The 19,738-nt window shown below is 44.0% G+C and overlaps 1 pseudogene, besides 1 other annotated feature; it reads right to left on the bottom strand.

Moving 5' to 3' along the window:
* On the bottom strand, nucleotides 2,645–3,013 carry RPL31P5 (ribosomal protein L31 pseudogene 5; annotated as a pseudogene).
* Nucleotides 6,351–7,173: an enhancer, noted in NCBI's record as "H3K27ac-H3K4me1 hESC enhancer chr14:64030470-64031292 (GRCh37/hg19 assembly coordinates)". NCBI's record gives its function as "activates a minimal SCP1, AML or CMV promoter by ChIP-STARR-seq in primed H9 embryonic stem cells {active_cell/tissue: H9 hESC(primed)}" and the evidence as "EXISTENCE:reporter gene assay evidence [ECO:0000049][PMID:30033119]".

Raw genomic sequence — 19,738 nt, 5'->3', positions numbered from 1 at the left:
TGTCTTAAAAAAATTATAAATAAAATAAAATAACAGTGGTTTAAACAACCAAGCAATTTATTTCTGTCTCTACAAAGACCTCAGGATCCTAGACTTCTTTATCCAACTATTCCAAAAGCAAGGTGTGGCCTTCATCCTTTATGGTCCAGGACATTGGCTAGTGCTCCAGCCATCACATCCACACTCCAGATAGCACAGAAGAAATCCAAAGGAACTTTACAACTATCATATTATGCAGTTTCTTAGTCCACATCCATCCCATTAGCCCAACACAGTCTCCTAACCACAATTAGCAGCAAAATTCTCTGGGAAATATAGTATTTATTCTGGGTATCACGTCTCCACCGAAAAATTTGGCATTCTATACCTGTGAAAGGGAAGAACAGATAATGGGAGACAATTAGCTATTTTTGTCACATATTCTTATCTCCATTTTTTTTTTTTTTTGAGATGGAGTCTCACTCTGTTGCCCAGGCTGGAGTGCAGTGGCACGATCTTGGCTCACTGCAACCTTAGCCTCCCATGTTCAAGCGATTCTCCTGCCTCAGCTTCCTGAGTAGCTGGGACTACAGGCGCGTGCTACCATGCCCGGGTAATTTTTGTATTTTTAGTAGAGACAGGGTTTCACCATGTTGTCCAGGCCGGTCTCGAACTACGACCTCAAGTGATCTGCCCACCTCAGCCTCCCAATGTGTTGGGATTATAGGCATGAGCCACCGTGCCTGGCCTTTTTTTTTTTTTTTTTTTTTGGAGACTGAGTATACCTCTATTGCCCAGGCTGGAGTGCAGTGGCGAAATCTTGGCTCACTGCAATCTTCGCCTCCCAGGTTCAAGAGATTCTCCTGCCTCAGCCTCCCAGGTAGCTGGGATTACAGGCACCTGCCACCATGCCTGGGTAATTTTTGTATTTTTAGTAGAGATGGGGTTTCACCATGTTGACCAGGCTGGTCTTGAACTCCTTACCTTAAATGATCCGCTTGCCTCAGCCTCCCAAAGTGTTGGGATTACAGGCATGAGCCACCACACCCGGCCATCTTCATTTTTTATATAAAATCAATGCAAAGAGTGGTTGCATTATTTTCAGGTGCATTCAGGAAATTTCAAGTAGTTTTTCTTAGCTTTTGCATAAAGTGTAAAGTAGGAAGAATGAAAGGTAGTAGAGCTAGAAAGATAATCAAGTGATCAGAATACAAAGGTATGGACCCAGTGTGGTGGCCCACACCTGTAATCCCAACACTTTGGGAGGCCAAAGTGGGTGGATCACCTGAGGTCAGGAGTTTAAGACCAGCCTGGCCAACATGGTGAAACCCTGTCTCTAAAAAAAAAAAAAAAAAAAATACAAAAATTAGCTGGGCATGGTGGCAGTTGCCTGTAATCTCAGCTACTTGGGAGGCTGAGGCAGGAGAATTGCTTGAACCCAGAGGCAGAGGTTGCAGTGAGCTGAGATCACACCATTGCACTCCAGCCTGGGCTACCAGAATGGAACTCGGTCTCAAAAATACAAACAAACAAAACAAAACAAAAATTAAGATATGGCTTGTGTGCTATTCAAATTGCTCAAGGACTCAATAATTTGATCAATTCTGTAAAATGAGTTTTTGGATTTTCTGAAATGGAAAGGAGACCCGGGATAGCAGTGATGATGCCATGTTACTGCCTACCTGTGGGAAAGAACTGTCTCTCTGTTCCTCCTACTTCCTACCCCTTAAATGCAAAGAAATGGCAGCAAGAAAGAAGCTGAGGAAAGGACTACTAATTTAATCAATATTCATTGAAATAAATTTGTACTAAGCACTTGCTTAGTACAAATGCTTGTACAAGCATTTGTGTATGTGGCCCAAATCCAATCCATGTGATCATAACAGTCTATCAAAGCAGCAATGCCACTGTTTCAGTAAAGAAAGTGTTTTTACGGCCGGGTGCAGTGGCTCATGCCTGTAATCCCAGCACTTTGGGAGGCTGAGGCGGGTGGATCACCTGAGGTCAGGAGTTTGAGACCAGCCTGGTCAACATGGTGAAACCCTGTCTCTACTAAAAATACAAAAAATTAGCCGGGTGTGGTGGCAGGCGCCTGTGAGCCCAGCTACTCAGGAGGCTGAAGCAGGAGAATCTCTTAAACCCGGGAGGTGGAGGTTGCAGTGAGCTGAGATTGCACCACTGTACTCCAGCCTGGGCAACACAGTGAGACTCCGTCTCAAACAAACAAAAAAAATGAAGCATTTTTAGGCCAGGCAAAGTGGCTCACACCTGTAATCCCAGCACTTTGGGAAGCTGAGGTGGGCAGATTGCTTGACCTCAGGAGTTCAAGACCAGCCTGGGCAACATGGTAAAACCCTGTCTTTACTAAAAATACAAAAAAAAAAAAAAAAAATTAGCCAGGTGTGGTGGCATGCGCCTTTAGTCCCAGCTAGTTGGGGGCTGAGGTGGGAGGATCACTTGAACCTGGGAGGCAGGGTTTCAGTGAACCGAGATTGTGCCACTGCTGCACTCCAGCCTGAGCCACAGAGTGAGACACTGTCAAAAAAGAAAAAAAAAAAAAAAGCATAGGTTGAGAAATAGAAAGCATTTCTGTTTGTTTGTTTTATAAGTTCATTTGATGTATTCGACAATCAGTGGTTAGTTCTCATCCACATTGACTGTAGATTTTTGAAAACGGTAACACGTACATGGGTAACCAAAGTATAGAGCTTGTTTGTTGAATTTTCATCCTCGTTACGTTTTCTGGACAACCACACAGGGATACGGTATGGGACAATCCTTATTCCTTTGGCCCAAACAGCTTTGTTGAGCCTAGTATCAATGTGCACATCTGGAGTGCCCATCTCCTTCATGGCACATTTTTGGATCTCTTCGAGTGCCCGAGGGGCACACTTCTTGAAGCCCACACCATGGATGCGCTTGTGAATGCTGATGGCAGAAAGGCTCTTCTTCTTGCCATCCTTCTTTGCAAGAGCGATCCTGCCGGGCCCAAGTTGGAAAGCAAGAGAACTACAGATTGTGGGAGAAAGAAAGCAGCGGTTCCCTGAAGGTATTTCTTGAAACACTGGAGGAGAATGGAGCTAGCTCAAATGGGAATAGATGAGATTTATAGTCACTCCTCCATCCCTGCAACATATCTACTTTAAATTCTTGGTTATGTTAATTTGTAGGTCTCAAGGCATTACATCAAGACATCATAAATTACATTGGGAGCTAAGGTGAGGAGTTTAGCAAGATCTCATAAGCTATCTGGTTCTCTTACCTATTAAATGAGAGGTCAAGACAAACTGAGTTATCAGGGACTTTTGTTTTTTTGAGACAGAGTTTCACTCTTATTGTCCAGGCTGGAGTGCTGGAGTGCAATGGCGCAATCTCGCCTCACCACAGCCTCCGCCTCCTGGGTTCAAGCAATTCTCCTGCCTCAGGCTCCCGAGTAGCTGGGATTACAGGTATGCGCCACCACACCCGGCTAATTTTGTATTTTTAGTAGAGACGGGATTTCTCCATGTTGGTCAGGCTGGTCTCGAACTCCCAACCTCAGGTAATCCACCCGCCTCAGCCTCCCAAAGTGCTGGGATTACAGGCATGAGCCACCATGCCGGGTCTATCCAGGTCTTTTCTGCTCAAACATTCCAGAAAGGAAAAGGCAGAGATAACTAATGATGTCAATGATAATATAGCAGTCTCTTCCCAAACACACTCCCAAGCTTTTTTTATCGTTGTTGTTGAGACAGAGTCATAATCACCCAGGCTGGGTGTAGTGGCACCATCTCGGCTCACCAAAATCTCCACCTCTCCACCTCCCAGGTTCAAGACATTCTCATGTCTCAGCCTCTCAAGTAGCTGGAATTACAGGCGCGTGCTACCATGCCTGGCTAATTTTTGTATTTTTAGTAGAGACGGGTTTCACCATGTTGGCCAGGCTGGTCTCCAACTCCTCAAGTGATCTGCCCACCTTGGCCTCCAAAGAGCTGGGATTACAGGCATGAGCCACCGCACCTGGCCTCAAGCTTTTGTAACGAACGGGTATAGCAAACTAGAGGTTACTGTTGAGCACCTCTAGAGAGTTTTTCATTTCAGTTATACTTTCAACTCCAAAATTTCTATTTGGTTATATGTAGAGAAATAAGTATTTCTATTTCTTCATGTTTTCATTGAGATTTGCTGAGATATCTTTCTCATGCTTTTCTTTAACTCTTCTTTTTTTTTTTTTCTTTTTTTTTGTGAGACAGGCTCCTGTCCTGTCACCCAGGCTGAAATGCAGTGGTATGAACATGGCTCACTGCAGCCTTGTACTTCTGAGCTCAAGTGATCCTCCCACCTCAGCCTTCTGAGTAGCTGGGAGTACAGGCATGCATCACCACACCTAGGTAATTTATTATTTATTGATTGATTGATTGAGACGGAGTCTCGCTCTGTTGCCCAGGCTGAAGTGCAATGGCGTGATCTCGGCTCACTGCAACCTCCGCCTCCCGGGTTCAAGCAATTCTCCTGCCTCAGCTTCCTGAGTAGCTGGAACTACAGGCGCCCACCACCACGCTGGCTAATGTTTGTATTTTTAATAGAGACTGGGTTTCACCATATTGGCCAGGCTGATCTCGAACTCCTGACCTCAGGTGATCTGCCCACCTCGGCCTCCCAAAGTACTGGGATTACAGGCATGAGCCACCATGCTTGCCGTAAAGATATTTTAAATATCTTACTTAAAGTTTAGTAAGTACAAAGTCTAGGCTTCCTCAGGGAGTTTCTATTGACTGTTTTCTCCCAGTGCCTGGGACACACTTTCTTGTTCTTTGCATGTTGTGTAATTTTTTGTTGGAAACTGGGGATTCAAAATAATATAACATGGCAATAATTGAAATTGGATTCCCTTCTTTCCCCAGGAGTTTTACTGCTGCTGTTTCTTTGTTTGTTTAGTGACTTCCTGAACCCATTTTGTAAAGTTTGTATTTTTTTTTTTTTTAAAGACAAGGTCTTTCTTGGTCTTCCAGGCTGAAGCACGGTGATGCAATCAATCCTAGCTCATTGCAGCCTTCAATTCCTGGGTTCAAACAATCCTCCTGCCTCAGCCTCCTGAGTGGTTAGGACTATAGGCATGCACCACCACATCCAGCTAGTTTTTTTCTTTTATTTTCTTCTTTAAATTATTATTTATTTTTATTTCTATAGGTTTTTGGGGAACAGATGGTGTTTGGTTATGAGAGAGGAGAAAGAAAAAAACCCAGTCAGGCAGGCAGTTAGGGTGGGTCCTCGGTTGAATCCTTTCAAACAAAAGAACAGCCTGCAGGCACAGGTAAGGGAACTTGCACAAGGGGGCTTGCCTAATACATGCCCACAGTCTCACAGATAAGAAAGGTTACCCAGGTGACTTGCCCAGACATACTCGCAATGGAAAATTCCATCCTCTGACACTTGCTTAGTAAGGGGAACAAAGCAATATGGAGTAACTCAAGCTAAGGGCTCACATGCGCACTAGGAGGATGGGGTAAGCTACCAGAAATTCACGCCTTATACAAATGAGATGCCCAGCCCTCACTGGTTTCTTATAAAAGCCTTTGCATTCAGCTGTAAAAAATGGCAACCCTCTTCAGGTCCCCTCTCCGCAGAAGACAGCTTTCTTCTTTCCCTTATTAAACTTTTGTTCTAACCTCATCCTTGGTGTCCGTGCTCCTTAACTTTCTTGGTTGTGAGACAAAGGACTCTGGGTACTACCTCAGGCAAGGAGAGACTGCTACATTGTGGTGCATTGGCAAGACTATAACATGGATAAGTTCTTTAGTGGTGATTTCTGAGATTTTGGTGGACTCATCGCCCGAGCAGTGTACACTATACCCAGTGTGCAGTCTTTTATCCCTCATTCCCCTCTCACCCTTACCCCTGAGTCCCCAAAGTCCATTATATCATTCTTATGCCTTTTTGTCTGTTTCCTTTTTTTTTTTTTTGGAGATGGAGTCTGGCTTCGTTGCTCAGGCTGGAGTACAATGGCGTGATCTTGGCAAACTGCAACCCTCCGCCTCCCAGGTTCAAGAGATTCTCCTGCTTCAGCCTCCCAAGTAGCTGGGATTACAGGCACCCGCCACCACGCCCAGCCAATTTTTGTGTTTTTAGTGGAGACAGGGTTTCACCGTGTTGGCCAGGCTGATCTCAAACTCCTGACCTAAGGTGATCCACCTGCCTCGGTCTCCCAAAGTGCTAGGATTACAGGCGTGAGCCACTGCTCCCAGCTGAGTCTCTTTCCTTTTTCTTTTTAAATTGTTGTAGAGATAGGTCCCACTGTGTTTTCCAGCCTGGTCTCAAATGCCTGGCCTCCCAAAGACCTGAGACTACAGGCATGAACCACTGCACCCAGCCAAGTCAGTATTCCTTTTCAAGGGTGTGGCACTGAAATCTGTTCAGTTAGCTTAGTAGTCAGCTGATTACTGGACACAGAGTTCCTCAAATTCCAGGAACCAATAAGTCTCGCAGCCTTTCCTGAGAGACTGTGTGGGGGGGCCTGCCTTCAATGCTCAGGCAGGATTTTCACAACTCTGCCTTAGCCTTTACTTTCTGCTTGTGAAGGGCCTCAGGGTCTGACAGAAATGAGAATATAGGGACTTTCAGGCATTTTCTGGGCAAGTGCACAACTTTGCACATGCTCAAGGACTTGTAGATTCCAAGGAATGTGTTAAAGAGTTTTCCAAAGCCCCCTGTGGATATCTTATACCTCAGCTTTTGGAGTCTCGCTCTTTTGCCCAGGCTGGAGTGCAGTGGTGCACTCTCGGCTCACTGCAACCTCCACCTCCTGGGTTCAAGTGATTCTCCTGCCTCAGCCTCCCGAGTAGCTGGGATTACAGGCATGTGCCACCATGCCTGGCTAATTTTTGTATTTTTAGTAGAGATGGAGTTTCACCATGTTGGCCAAGCTTGCTTTGAACTCCTGACCTCAGGTGATCCACCTGCCTCAGCCTCCCAAAGTGCTGAGATTACAGGCGTGAGCCACCGCACCCAGCCCCCAGATTCTCTTTTCGGGTTTTTTGTTCAGCTTCTGGTTTGCTCTAGTTGTTATCATTACCATAGCAACTGTAATGTTAAATAATTGTTACTGATTGTTTTTGACCAATGCCCTGAGGGAAAAGACTTTTTGCACTGAGTTCTGAGTCAGATCAGATAAAGACAAGTCCTGTGAGTGGAGGTTTCCAGGGAACTGCCAGACAGGTCAAATAATGAGAATTCTCTGTGAATGGTGCTTTGGGGAGCTCTAAACCCATTTGGTTTTCTACAGTGGCTACTAGGCTGTTCGTTCGCCATGATACAGAGTAGTTGGTTTTCAAGATTACTGTGGACCTAAAAAGATGGGGATGAGAATAGGACAAGATAAATTGTCACAAAGTTCACTGTTCTTACCAAGATTCAGCCATTTTTCTCGAATAAATGCTCCTGGACTTGCTGCAAAACGTTTGTTATTGTACAGTGTTCCAAAGAAATTGATTTTGACAATTTTTGTCAGTGTTTTCAGTGTTCTAATGAAAGAGTATATTTTCAAAAGTCTTCACTCTGTCATTCCCTCTGATGTCACTCCAGAACCTAAGGAAGATATACCTGGTGGTTTCTATATGCTTTGGATGGCTTTAGGCTCATGGCAGTTCTAGAGAATAACATGCAACCTGTTTCATCTTTCTAATATCACTAGTGTATTGTTACTCTTACTGTACATTGTGCACTGGAAAGCCCTGCATCTCAGGTTTACTATTTGACAAGCTTTTCAAGTTTTAGAATACATTCCATTTATTAATTGAAACCCAACATGCTGTCTAAATTTGCATCAGTAGGGAAATTGATCTGGTTGTGGGATAGTAAAAGAAAGGGGAGCGATTCTAGATTCACATCTAATTTCAACTCCTCTCGTATGTCTTAGAAAGTTAACTTTACCCTTCTAAATCTGAGTTTTTTCATTTGTAAATAATATTACACCTACTTCCTGGGGTTATTGGAAGAACTCAGTAAGAGCCTAGCATGACTGCACAGGATAGGTGCCTAGTTAATACTGACCTCTCATTCCCTTCCACCTCTGCTAAATAAAGGGCTCGATTTCTTTAAAATTAGTTATAGTAATTAATACAGAAAAATAAAAAAGAGAAACTGAAAAATGTGTCAGATGATTTTTGTTGTTCATTTGGCAAATTGTATGTAATCTTCTGCCACTGCAATCAGCAATGTCACATTGAATCAATTTACTATTCAATTACTGAACCACTGGTAAATCAATCTCTCTGATCCATAAACCAACTCTCAATCATCTAGCTTTGAGATGACTCATACATTATGTCTCCTGCGTATTGGTGCTGCCTGGGTTTTGTGCATTTCTCTGCCCATTCACTTCTTTATCATGTAAAGTGTCAGTATTAAAACCACACAACTTTGTGGTCAACAGATTAGGAAATATGTATTTTGAAATTTAAGATCAGGCTGGGTGTGGTGGCTCATGCCTGTAATCTCAGCACTTTGGGAGGCTGAGGTGGGCGGATCACCTGAGGTCAGGAGTTCGAGACCAGCCTGACCAACATGGAGAAATCCCGTCTCTACTAAAAATACAAAATTAGCCAGGTGTGGTGGTGGTGCATGCCTGTAATCCCAGCTACTTGGGAGGCTGAGGCAGGAGAATTGCTTGAACCCAGGAGGCGGAGGTTGTGGTGAGCTGAGATTATGTCATTGCACTCCAGCCTGGGTAACAAGAATGAAACTCTGTCTCAAAAAAAAAAAAAAAAAAAAAGAAAGAAAGAAATTTAAGATCAAACTAAGTTTTAGAGCATCTTGAATGATTAGGGATTGTATACGAGCTTGAACATATACTCATTGCTGACTGTACTTTTACTTGAAAGAATGAGGATTGATTAATTCAACTAAGCCTTCCTAGTAAAGGAATATGACTTATATTGTCTTACGTGCTCATTTTTCTCTGAAAGGCAAAACAATCTTAACAAATGAGTTGATATTTGTGCAGTGGCTTATGACTGTAATCCCAGCTACTTGGGAGGCTAAGGTGGGAAGATAACTTGAGCCCAGAAAGTCGAGGCTGCAGTGAGATAAGATCGTGCCCATCTCCAAAACACAAAAACCAAAACCAAAAAACAAGTAAGTTATGTTTTTGATACTGCATTATTAATATTTAGCCTACTTTTCTCCACTAATGGATAAAACACTTCAGATTTCTGTTTGTTCAGCTTAGTTTATTGAGATGTAAAAGTAGAATGCCTGTTGCATGCAGTGGCTCATACTAGTAATCCCAACACTTTGCGAGGCTGAGGTGGGAGGATCGCTTGAGCTCAGGAGTTTGAGACCAGCCTGGGCAACATAGGAAGACCCTGTGGCTGCACAAAATTTTAAAATTAGCTGGGCATGGTGGCACACACCTGTAGTTTCAGCTTCAGTTTCTTGGGAGGCTGAGGTGGGAGGATTGCTTGAGCCCAGGAGATCAAGGCTGCAGTGAGTCATGATCGCACCACTGCACTCCAGCCTGGGAGACAGAGTGAGACCTTGTCTCAAAAAAAAAAAAAAAAAAAAAAAAAAGTGGAATACTTAGCATGGCTGCTGCTCCTTTTACCAGCATCTGTTCTTACTGGCTGTCTCTCCAGGAAAGTTCCACTTACCTTCCTTTTCTTCAAATGTAAAAGTAAGCCGGGAGTGGTGGCTCATGCCTGTAATCCCAGCACTTTGGGAGGCCGAGGTGGGCAGATCACGAGGTCAGGAGATCGAGACCATCCTGGCTAACACAGTGAAACCCCGTCTCTACTACAAATACAAAAAAAAAAAAAAAATTAGCCGGGCGTGGTGGTGGGCACCTGTAGTCCCAGCTATGCAGGAGGCTGAGGCAGGAGAATGGCGTGAACCCAGGAAGCGGAGCTTGTAGTGAGCCGAGATCGCACCACCGCACTCCAGCCTGGGCAACAGAGTGAGACTGTCTCAAAAAAAAAAAAAAAGGTAAAAGTAATACATATTCCTCATAAAACTAAAGTGATATCTGTATTAATCCATTCTTGCATTGCTATAAAGAAATACCTGAGACTGGGTAATTTATTTATCTATCTATTTATTTATTTATTTTTGAGATGGAATCTCACTCTTTTTCCCAGGCTGGAGTGCAGTGGCCTGATCTTGGCTCACCGCAACCTCTGCCTCCCGGGTTCAAGCGATTCTCCTGCCTCAGCCTCCCGAGTAGCTGGGACTACAGGCATGTGCCACCATGCCTGGCTAAGTTTTGTATTTTTAGTAGAGACAGGGTTTCAGTAAATTGGTCAGGCTGGTCTCAAACTCCTGACCTCGTGATCCACCCACCTCGGCCTCCCAAAGTGTTGGGATTACAGGCGTGAGCCACCACGCCCAGTGAGACTGGGTAATTTATAAAGAAAACAGGTTCAACTGGCTCACGGTTCTGCAGGTTGTACAGGAAGCATGGCTGGGGAAGCCTCAGGAAACTTACAATCATGTCTGAAGGTGAAGGGGAAGCAGGCACGTCTTACATGGCCAGAGCAGGAGGGAGAGAGAGGTGGGAGGTGCCACACACTTTTAAACGACCAGATTTCATGAGAACTCTGTCATGACAACAGCACTAGGGGGATGGTGTTAAACCATTAGAAGCTGCCCCTGTGATCTGGCCAGGCGCGGTGGCTCACACCCATAATCCCAGCACTTTGGGAGGCTGAGGCAGGAGGATCGCTTGAGTTCAGGAGTTTGAGACCAGCCTTGGCAACATAGTGAGACCCTGTCTCAAAAAAAATAAAATAGGCTAAGCATGGTGGCTCACGCCTGTAATCCCAGTACTTTGGGAGGCTGAGGCAGGTGGATCACCTTAGGTCAGGAGTTCGAGACCAGCCTGGCCAACATGGTGAAACCCCATGTCTACTAAAAATACAAAAGATTAGCCAGGCGTGGTGGTGGGCACCTGTAATCCCAGCTACTCCGGAGGCTGAGACAGGAGAAATGCTTGAACCTGGGAGGCGGAGGTTCATCCATACTATAAAATACTAGGCAGACATTAGATGTAAGGGAGATGTTTCGGGCCCACCCCAGAATGCCAAAAAAAAAAAAAAAAAAAAAAAAAGAGAGAGAGAGAGAAAAGATATAAGGGAGATGTATATCATATGGAAAAGTGTCTCTGATGTCACATGAAAAATAAAAGCCACAGCACTATAAGTAAAGTAGTATCCTATGTATACTAGGGAAAACTATGTTATATACACCCATACACATACACAAACACACACCTGTACATATCTAGAAAAGTATTGGAAGGATATACATGGAACTGTTAGTAGTGAATATCTTTGGGCATGCACTGAGGTAGGTGATAAAGATTAAATTATACACTTGGGTAGTGATATGGTTTGGATCTGTGTCCCTACCCAAATCTCATGTTGAAACGTAATCCCCAGTGCTGGAGGTGGGGCCTGGGAGGAGCTAATGAGATCATGGGGACAGTTTTTTTTTTTTCAATTATTATTATTATTATTTTGAGACAGAGTTTTGCTCTTGTTGCCCAGGCTGGAGTGCAATGGCTCGATCTCGGCTCACTGCAACCTCCGCCTCCCAGGTTCAAGCGATTCTCCTGCCTTAGCTTCCCAGGTAGCTGGGATTACAGGTGCCCACCACCACGCCCAGCTAATTTTTGCCTTTTTAGTAGAGACGGGGTTTCACCATATTGGCCAGGCTGGTCTCGAACTCCTGACCTCAGGTGATCCACTCGCCTTGTCCTCCCAAAGTGCTGGGATTACAGGCATGAGCCACCACGCCCAGCTGTTTCTATATTTTGTCACTGAAATTCTGCAGTGAATATCCCAGGTGAACATTAGCAGTATTTTTGTAAGAAAGAGTTCTGGGGCAGGAATTTTTTTTTTTTTTTTTTTTTGAGGTAGAGTCTTGCTCTGTCATCCAGGCTTGAGGGCAGTGGCATGCTCTCAGCTCACTGCAACCTCCAGCTCCTGGGTTCAAGCGATCCTCCCAACTCAGCCTCCCAAGTAGCTGGAATTACAGGTGCATAGCCACCTGGCTAAGTTTGATATTTTTAGTAGAGATGAGGTTTCACCATGTTGGCCAGGATGGTCTCAAACTTCCAACCTCAAGTGATCCACCTGCCTTGGCCTCCCAAAGTGCTGGAATTATAGGCATGAGCCACAGTGCCTGGCCAGGGGGGAGGAATTTTTAAGGGAAAGACGTTCTAAGAATTTATGCTTAGTAATGAAAGAAATCTCAAGGGAGATATGGTATACTCTTGTGTCAAATCAACATATAACAAATTCATATAGATAAATCACAAAAGCACTAAAACTGTAATGGAAAAAATAAGCAAAACCCACCAATAGTCAATTTGCAGAAAAAGAAATACCAATGACTACTAAATACATGGAAAATATTTTAACTATTCTATCTCTGTAATTAACAAGATGAGAGGAGAAAGTAATGGTGATGTGGCAGAACTTTAGCAAGAACTTAAAAATATGGCCAGGCATGGTGGCTCATCCCTGTAATCCCAGCACTTTAGGAGGCTGAAATGGGAGGATCACTTGAGGTCAGGCATTCAAAACCAGCCTGGCCAACATGGTAAAACCCCATTTCTACTAAAAAAAAGCAAAAAAAAAAAAAAAAAAAAAAAAAAAAAAAAAAAAAAAGCCCAGCGTGGTGGCCTGTGCCTGTAATCCCAGCTGCTTGGGAGGCTGAGGTCCGAGAATCGTTTGAACTCGGTAGGCGGAGGTTGCAGTGAGTTGAGATCTCATCACTGAACTCCAGGCTGGGCAAGAATGAGACTCCATCTCAAAAAACAACCACAATACAAAAAGAGCTTTAAAATATTCATATCCTGGGGCTGGGCGCAGTGGCTTACGCCTGTAATCCCAGCACTTTGGGAGGCAGAGGCGAGCGGATCATGAGGTCAAGGGATCGAGACCATCCTGGCCAACATGGTGAAACGCTGTCTCTACTAAAAATACAAAAATCAGCTAAGCGTGGTTGCACGCGCCTGTAATTCCAGCTACTCTGGAGGCTGAGGCAGGAGAATTGCTTGAACTCAGGAGGTGGAGGTTGCAGTGAGCTGAGATCGCACCACTGCCCTCCAACCTGGCGACAGAGTGAGACTCCATCTCAAAAAAAAAAAAATTCATATCCTTAAATCATGAATTCTACTTTCACAAATTTGAGGAAATAAAGATGTCATAAGTAGACACCCATTGGCTACATCTCAGGGCTACTGCTCCTACTCTTCTCCCCACTACCTCCAAGTGAAGAATCATCCAGCCCAAAATGTCAAGCTCCTTCTCCTCTTTTTCTCCTCCAATGCACATGGAAACAGCAGAAAGCCTCCAACACTCATTTTGTGCAGTGAGTCTCATATCCTGACCACATTTGATTGGACCAGGTGAGGGTACCTGAGCTAACCTGGGCTAGGGTCGCTTTCCCAGGAACTTTGAATTAACACTAACGGATCCTCGCCTATGTTCTGGCTGCTCTATTAAATGGAGACAATGCAAAAATGAGAGCTTGACCTGCCATTTTGCCCAACCTAGCCTGCCCCTCAGAAAAAGTGAGAGGAGAATGACCGAAGCACAATCACAGCAAGGACAGAGACAGAAAGGCCTGAGTGCTTTTCCATCCTACGGCTAGTCCCTGCTTGCTGAGGCTAAGTGCATCCCTGCCCAAAATCCTAATAGCAATTATCCTCCTTTGCGCGTGCCAACTCCAGTAAGTCCCTGGTAAAGCTCCTGCTGCTCCAACTCAAGAGAGAGAGCCCCAGATCCTGCTCAGTGCCTCAATATTGCAGAACAGAGGGAGTGAGGGAAACATTTAATTTCCAACTCTGAAGGTCTACCATGGAGAAGAGAGGAGCAGAAGGAAGAACTTAATACTGGTGGAGCACTTGGTAAAATGAAAATAAATATTCTTTTTTTTTTTTTGAGATGGAGTTTTGCTCTTGTCGCCCAGGCTGGATTGCAATGGCACAATCTCGGCTCACTGCAACCTCTGCCTCCCGGGTTCAAGTGATTCTCCTGCCTCAGTCTCCCGAGTAGCTGGGATTACAGGCGCCCACCACCACACTCAGCTAATTTTTGTATTTTTAGAAGAGACAGTGTTTCACCACGTTGGCCAGGCTGGTCTTGAACTCCTAACCTCAGGTGATCCACCTACCTCGGCCTCCCAAAGTGCTGGGATTACAGGTGTGAGCCTCTGTGCCCGGCGAAAATAAATATTCTATGTGAACCACTTTAGACAGTTCCTGGCCCACAGTAAACAATACTTTTTTGTTGTTGTTTTATTTTCTAAGATTGAGTCTCTCTCTGTTGCCCAGGCTGGAGTGCAGCGGCACAATCTTGGCTCAGTGCAACCTCCACCTCCCAGGTTCAAACAATTTTTCTGCCTCAGCCTCCCTAGTAGCTGGGATTACAGGATTACAGGTGTGTGCCACCACACTGGCTGATTTTTTGTATTTTTAGTAGAGACAGGGTTTCACCATGTTGGCCAGACTGGTCTCAAACTCCTAATCTCAAGGGATCCACCCGCCTCAGCCTCCCAAAGTGCTGGAATTACAGGCACGAGCCACCGTGCCCGGCCTCTCATAGTAAACAATACTTTAAACAAACAAAAGGAGGCCAAGTGTGCCAGGCCAGGCCTGAAGGAGAATTCTGAGTATAACCAGTATCACCGCCTCTGTTTCTCTTTTTATTTTTTCCATTTTTTCCTCCTGATCATAAGATATTGCAACAAACTCTGGGCTTTCATAGTAATTAGTCCTTGTTCATAACATCTTGTAGTAGAGTAGAGTGATAGTATTTTTTTTTTTTTTTGAGATGGAGTCTCGCTCTGTTGCCCAGACTAGAGTGCAGTGTCACCATCTCAGCTCACTGCAACCTCCACCTCCTGGGTTCAAGCAATTCTTTGCCTCAGCCTCCTGAGTAGCTGGGATTACAGGTGCCTACCACCATGCCCGGCTAATTTTTTTTTGTATTTTTAGTAGAGATGGGGTTTCACCATCTTGGCTAGGCTGGTCTTGAACTCCTGACCTCGTGATCCACCTACCTCTGCCTCCCAAAGTGCTGGGATTACAGGTATGAGCCACCGCGCCCAACCAAGTGATACTATTTATGTCTTTTTCATATTTGAGTTGCCCCAGAGTGCCAAGTAGGTACTTAAACGTATGGAATGTTATGTATGAGGGAATGATTAAATACAATAATGAAAGTTTGGTTAGGAAACTTCTATATGACGTGTATGAAAGGCTTATGGAAATGTACTGATCATCATGAGATGATGAATTCTCTTGAAGTTGAGCGTTTGCGACAGTTTGCCAATGAAGGCAGTGACTTTTAGCTAATTATAACTTGTTTCATTTTAGGGGTCAAGACAGCTGTGATTATATACTTTGAATTAGTCTCTTTCAATACTTTTTTTTTTTTCAAAAATACTTTTTCATAAATACCCTGTTCCATTTGCCAATTGGCTTGTTAACTGGGTCATCGACCTTCCAAATCAGAATATATGCTTCCTTGACTTAGAAATGCCATCAAACGGAACATTTTCAAGTACTGGAGATGACTACTGCCTCTATCCTTGTTTTCAAAGCTCTTTAAACCGAAGTTTCCTACAACATTTTCTGTTCATTAAGAAGAAAGTTGTTCTAATGCTAGGCCATGTTAAAAAGATAAAACTTAAGATACAAAAAAAGAAGCTTGATTTGGATTCACACTGAAATTTACCTCTACCTGCAAAGTGTGCTTCTCTCCAAAGACAGAATAGGGTTTCTTTATGTTTTTTTAAAAAGACTTAAATATCAAAGGAAATGAGCTGGAAAGGCATTATGTTTTCTAGATACTCTACACAGCACTATATATAGACCAGAATGTGTCGAACACGGGTCCCCAACCCTGGGCCACGGACCGGTATCAGTCCATGGCCTGTTAGGAACTGGGCTGGACAGCAGGAGGTGAGTGGCAGGCAAGGCAGTATTACTGCCTGAGCTCGGCCTCCTGTCAGATCAGCTGTGGCATTAGATTCTCATAGGAGCGCAAACTCTACCGTGAACTGTGCAAGCAAGGGATCTGGGTTGCGTGCTCCTTACGAGGAGAATCTAATGCCTGATGATCTGAGGTGGAACAGTTTCATCCCGAAACCACCCACTCAAGTCCCCACACCCCAGTCAGTGGAAAAATTGTCTCCCACAAAACCAGTCCCTGGTGCCAGAAAGGTTGTGGACTGCTGGTATAGAGGATTTCTATGGGGAAAAGGTAGTAAACTAAGTTTAGAATTTCAGCACCTTTCTTCTAGTCAGAATTCCTATCCAAGCTCTGCCACTTACTAGATGTATAACCTTGGAAAAGAAACTTAAGCTTTCTAGTCAGATGTGGTGGCACCTGCCTGTAGTTCCAACTACTTGGGAGGCTAAGTGGGGGATTGCTTGAGCCCAGGAGTTTGAGGTTACAGTGAGCTATGATTGAATCACTGCACTCCAGCCTGGGTGACAGAGACTCTGTCTCTAAAAATAATAATAAAGGCCGGGTGTGGTGGCTCACGCCTGTAATCTCAGCACTTTGGGAGGCTGAGGTGGGTGGATCACGAGGTCAGGAGATCTAGACCATCCTGGCTAACATGGTGAAACCCCGTCTCTACTAAAAATACAAAAAAATTAGCTGGGCGTGGTGGCGGGCACCTGTAGTCCCAGCTACTTGGGAGGCTGACTGAGGCAGGAGAATGGCGTGAACCCGGGAGGTGGAGCTTGCAGTGAGCTGAGATTGCGCCACTGCACTCCAGCCTGGGGGACAGAGCGAGACTCCTTCTCAAAAATAAATAAATAAAATAAATAAATAAAATAAAATAAAAATAAAATAAAGAAACTTAAGCTTTCTGTATCTTAGTTTCTGCATCTAAAAAAGTGGAATAATAGTGCCTACATCAATAGGTTATTTTGAGGATTAAACAAGATACTATGGCCAGGCTCGGTGGCTCACGCCTGTAATCCCAGTACTTTGGGAGGCCGAGGCAGACAGATCACCTGAGGTCAGGAGTTCGAGATCAGCCTAGCCAACATGGCGAAACCCTGTCTCTACTAAAAATACAAAAATTAGCTGGGCGTGGTGGTGGGCGCCTGTAATCCCAGCTACTCAGGAGGCTGAGGCAGGAGAATCGCTTGAACCCGGGAGATGGAGGTTGCAGTGGGCCGAGATCGTGCCACTGCACTCAAGCCTGGGTGACAGAGTAAGACTCTATCTCAAAAAAACAAAAAAACAAAAAAACCCCACACCAAACAAAACAAACGAAACAAAAACCAAGATAATACAAGTAAAGTGTCTGCCACAGTTCCTAGCTCATAGTGTTCAATGAATGGGAGTTATGGTGATGGAAGACTTGGACCATTGTTTCTACTTTCTTTACTTTATGATCTCATAAAAGGTCACAGTTAACCTCTGTATCTTATTAGTCTTTCCTTTGTAAGATGAAGAAAATAGTAGCCATATATTCAATTACTTGGATATATTAGTAGCAAATGACTTAAACACAGTGATAACTTGGTATATAGCGTGAAAAGACCTGGCTCTTGGACAAACAGGATTCAAATTGTGGTTCCACTCATTACTAGCTGTCTGACATTGGGCAACCTCCTTGATCCTCAGTTTTCTTATTTTTGAAATGAAAATAATATGTATCTACAGAGTTAAGGCTCAAATTAAATACTGCATATGAAAATGCACTAAATTGCTATGCACATGCTTGCAGTTATTTTTACCAATACCATATGAGATTTTTACAAGTACCATACTATGCATTGTCCTTATTGGTTTATTTTGTTTCAATAACAGTGTGCTCAGATTTCAGTTTTCACCCTCTTTTGGTTGTCTTGCCCCTTAGAATGTGTTAGGTCTGATTCGTACTATGTTCATAGATTTTACCCAATTTTATTGATAGCTCAAAAACAATGTTCTCTCTCTATGATCGATAAGAAGCCTAGATGTAACACTCAACCATAGGTTGCATTTTCTAAAATATGGCCTTGGTGTATTAAGAGACTCAGTAAAAATAAACTATTGAAAAGCAGCATACAGTTTGCTAAATAAGGCTTATTTTCATGTTTAGTAGGTCATTACACTATTCTTTCCTTGTGTTCTAGAAGGACTTAACTCTATATGCATAATTCCTTTTTAATTTTTTTTTCCTGAGCTCCCTGTCACTTAGAAAATGCGTAGGTTTTTTTTTTTTGTTTGTTTGTTTGTTTTTTTCAGATGCAGTCTTGTTCTGTTACCCAGGCTGGAGTGCAGTGGCGCCATCTCGGCTCACTGCAACTTCTGCCTCCTGGGTTCAAGTGACCTTTCCACTTCAGCCTCCCGAGTTGCTGGGATTTCAGGTGTGCACTACCATGCCAGGCTAATTTTTTTGTATTTTTAATAGAGAGGGAGTTTCATCATGTTGGACAAGCTGGTCTTGAACTCCTGACCTCAAGCCATCTGCCTGCCTCAGCCTCCCAAAGTGCTGGGATTATGAGTATCAGCCACCACGTCCGGCCAAAAATGCATAATTCTTAAGAATATCTTCTTTGAGTCTAAACTTTTAAGAAAAACAGAAATCAGCCGGGTGTGGTGGCTCATACCTGTAATCCCAGCACTTTGGGAAGCCGAGGTGGGTGGGTCATGAGTTCAGGAGTTCAAAATCAGCCTGACCAATATGGTGAAACCTCTCTCTACTAAAAAATACAAAAATTAGCCAGGCTTGGTGACGCATGCCTATAATCCCAGCTACTCAGGAGGCTGAGGCAGGAGAATTGCTTGAACCCAGGAGGTGGAGGTTGCAGTGAGCTGAGATCACGCCACCGCACTCCAGCCTGGGTGACAGAACGAGGCTCCGTCTCAAAAACAAACAAACAAACAACAACAAAAAAACCCAGAAATAAATTACACTTGATCAATTACATTAGGAAAGAACTCCTGGCAGGGTCACTTTAAATTATTTCCTTTCATGCTTAAGATTCATAAACGTTTCACTTAGTTCTCAACATTTAGAAAACCTCAGTTTCAGGGTCTAAAAAGTAAACTGAAGCTTGAAGAGGTTAAGTGAATTGCCTGTCAGGATTCTTTTGGGTGTCCATTGTAGAAATCAAACTCCACAGTGGCTTAAACAAAAAAGGGAATTTACTGGCTCATATAACTGAAACTAGCTTAGGTAAAGCTGAATCCAGCAGTTCCAACAAGGCTGATGGAACTTGGAATTTGCCAAAGTCTCTTCTAAAGGATTGGCTTCCTCTAGGATGAAGGAAGGAAAAGGGAGACAGTTATAAGCAGCTCTAATTTATATCATTTCATGGTTTCTGATCCAAGAGGAAGAGAGGCATCCCTCCTCCAGCATTCAAAAAGCAAATCTTGGGGAAGACCCAGTTGAGTCATGTACCCATCTCTCTGGGGGAGGAGGGAGGGAAGAGGGAAGCACCATGAGTAACAGTCCCATCAGAATCACATAAAGTGAGGGAGGGTGTGGGCCTCAAAGGAAAAGAAGGGGACGGTTGGGAGGCACGTATTCAAAACACCAAGGCCAGACCACTATTAAACGCAGGGCTAGGATTAGAAACTGGAATCTCAGTCCTGGTGCAGTTTTAGAGGTTAAAATGAGGATGAGAAATAGATAAGCCCAGAGCAAAAATACTTTGAGCCTCTTTTATTTTTTGTGTGTTTGTTTTTTCAGATGGAGTCTCACTCTGTCGCCCAAGCTGGAGTGCAGTGGCGTGATCTCGGCTCATTGCAACTTCCACCTCCCAGGT

The sequence above is a fragment of the Homo sapiens genome, chromosome 14, assembly GCF_000001405.40.
Source record: "Homo sapiens chromosome 14, GRCh38.p14 Primary Assembly".
Taxonomy (NCBI): Eukaryota; Metazoa; Chordata; class Mammalia; order Primates; family Hominidae; genus Homo; species Homo sapiens.
Note: the sequence above shows the minus strand (reverse complement) of the source record. Positions and strands in the feature narration are given on the sequence as shown.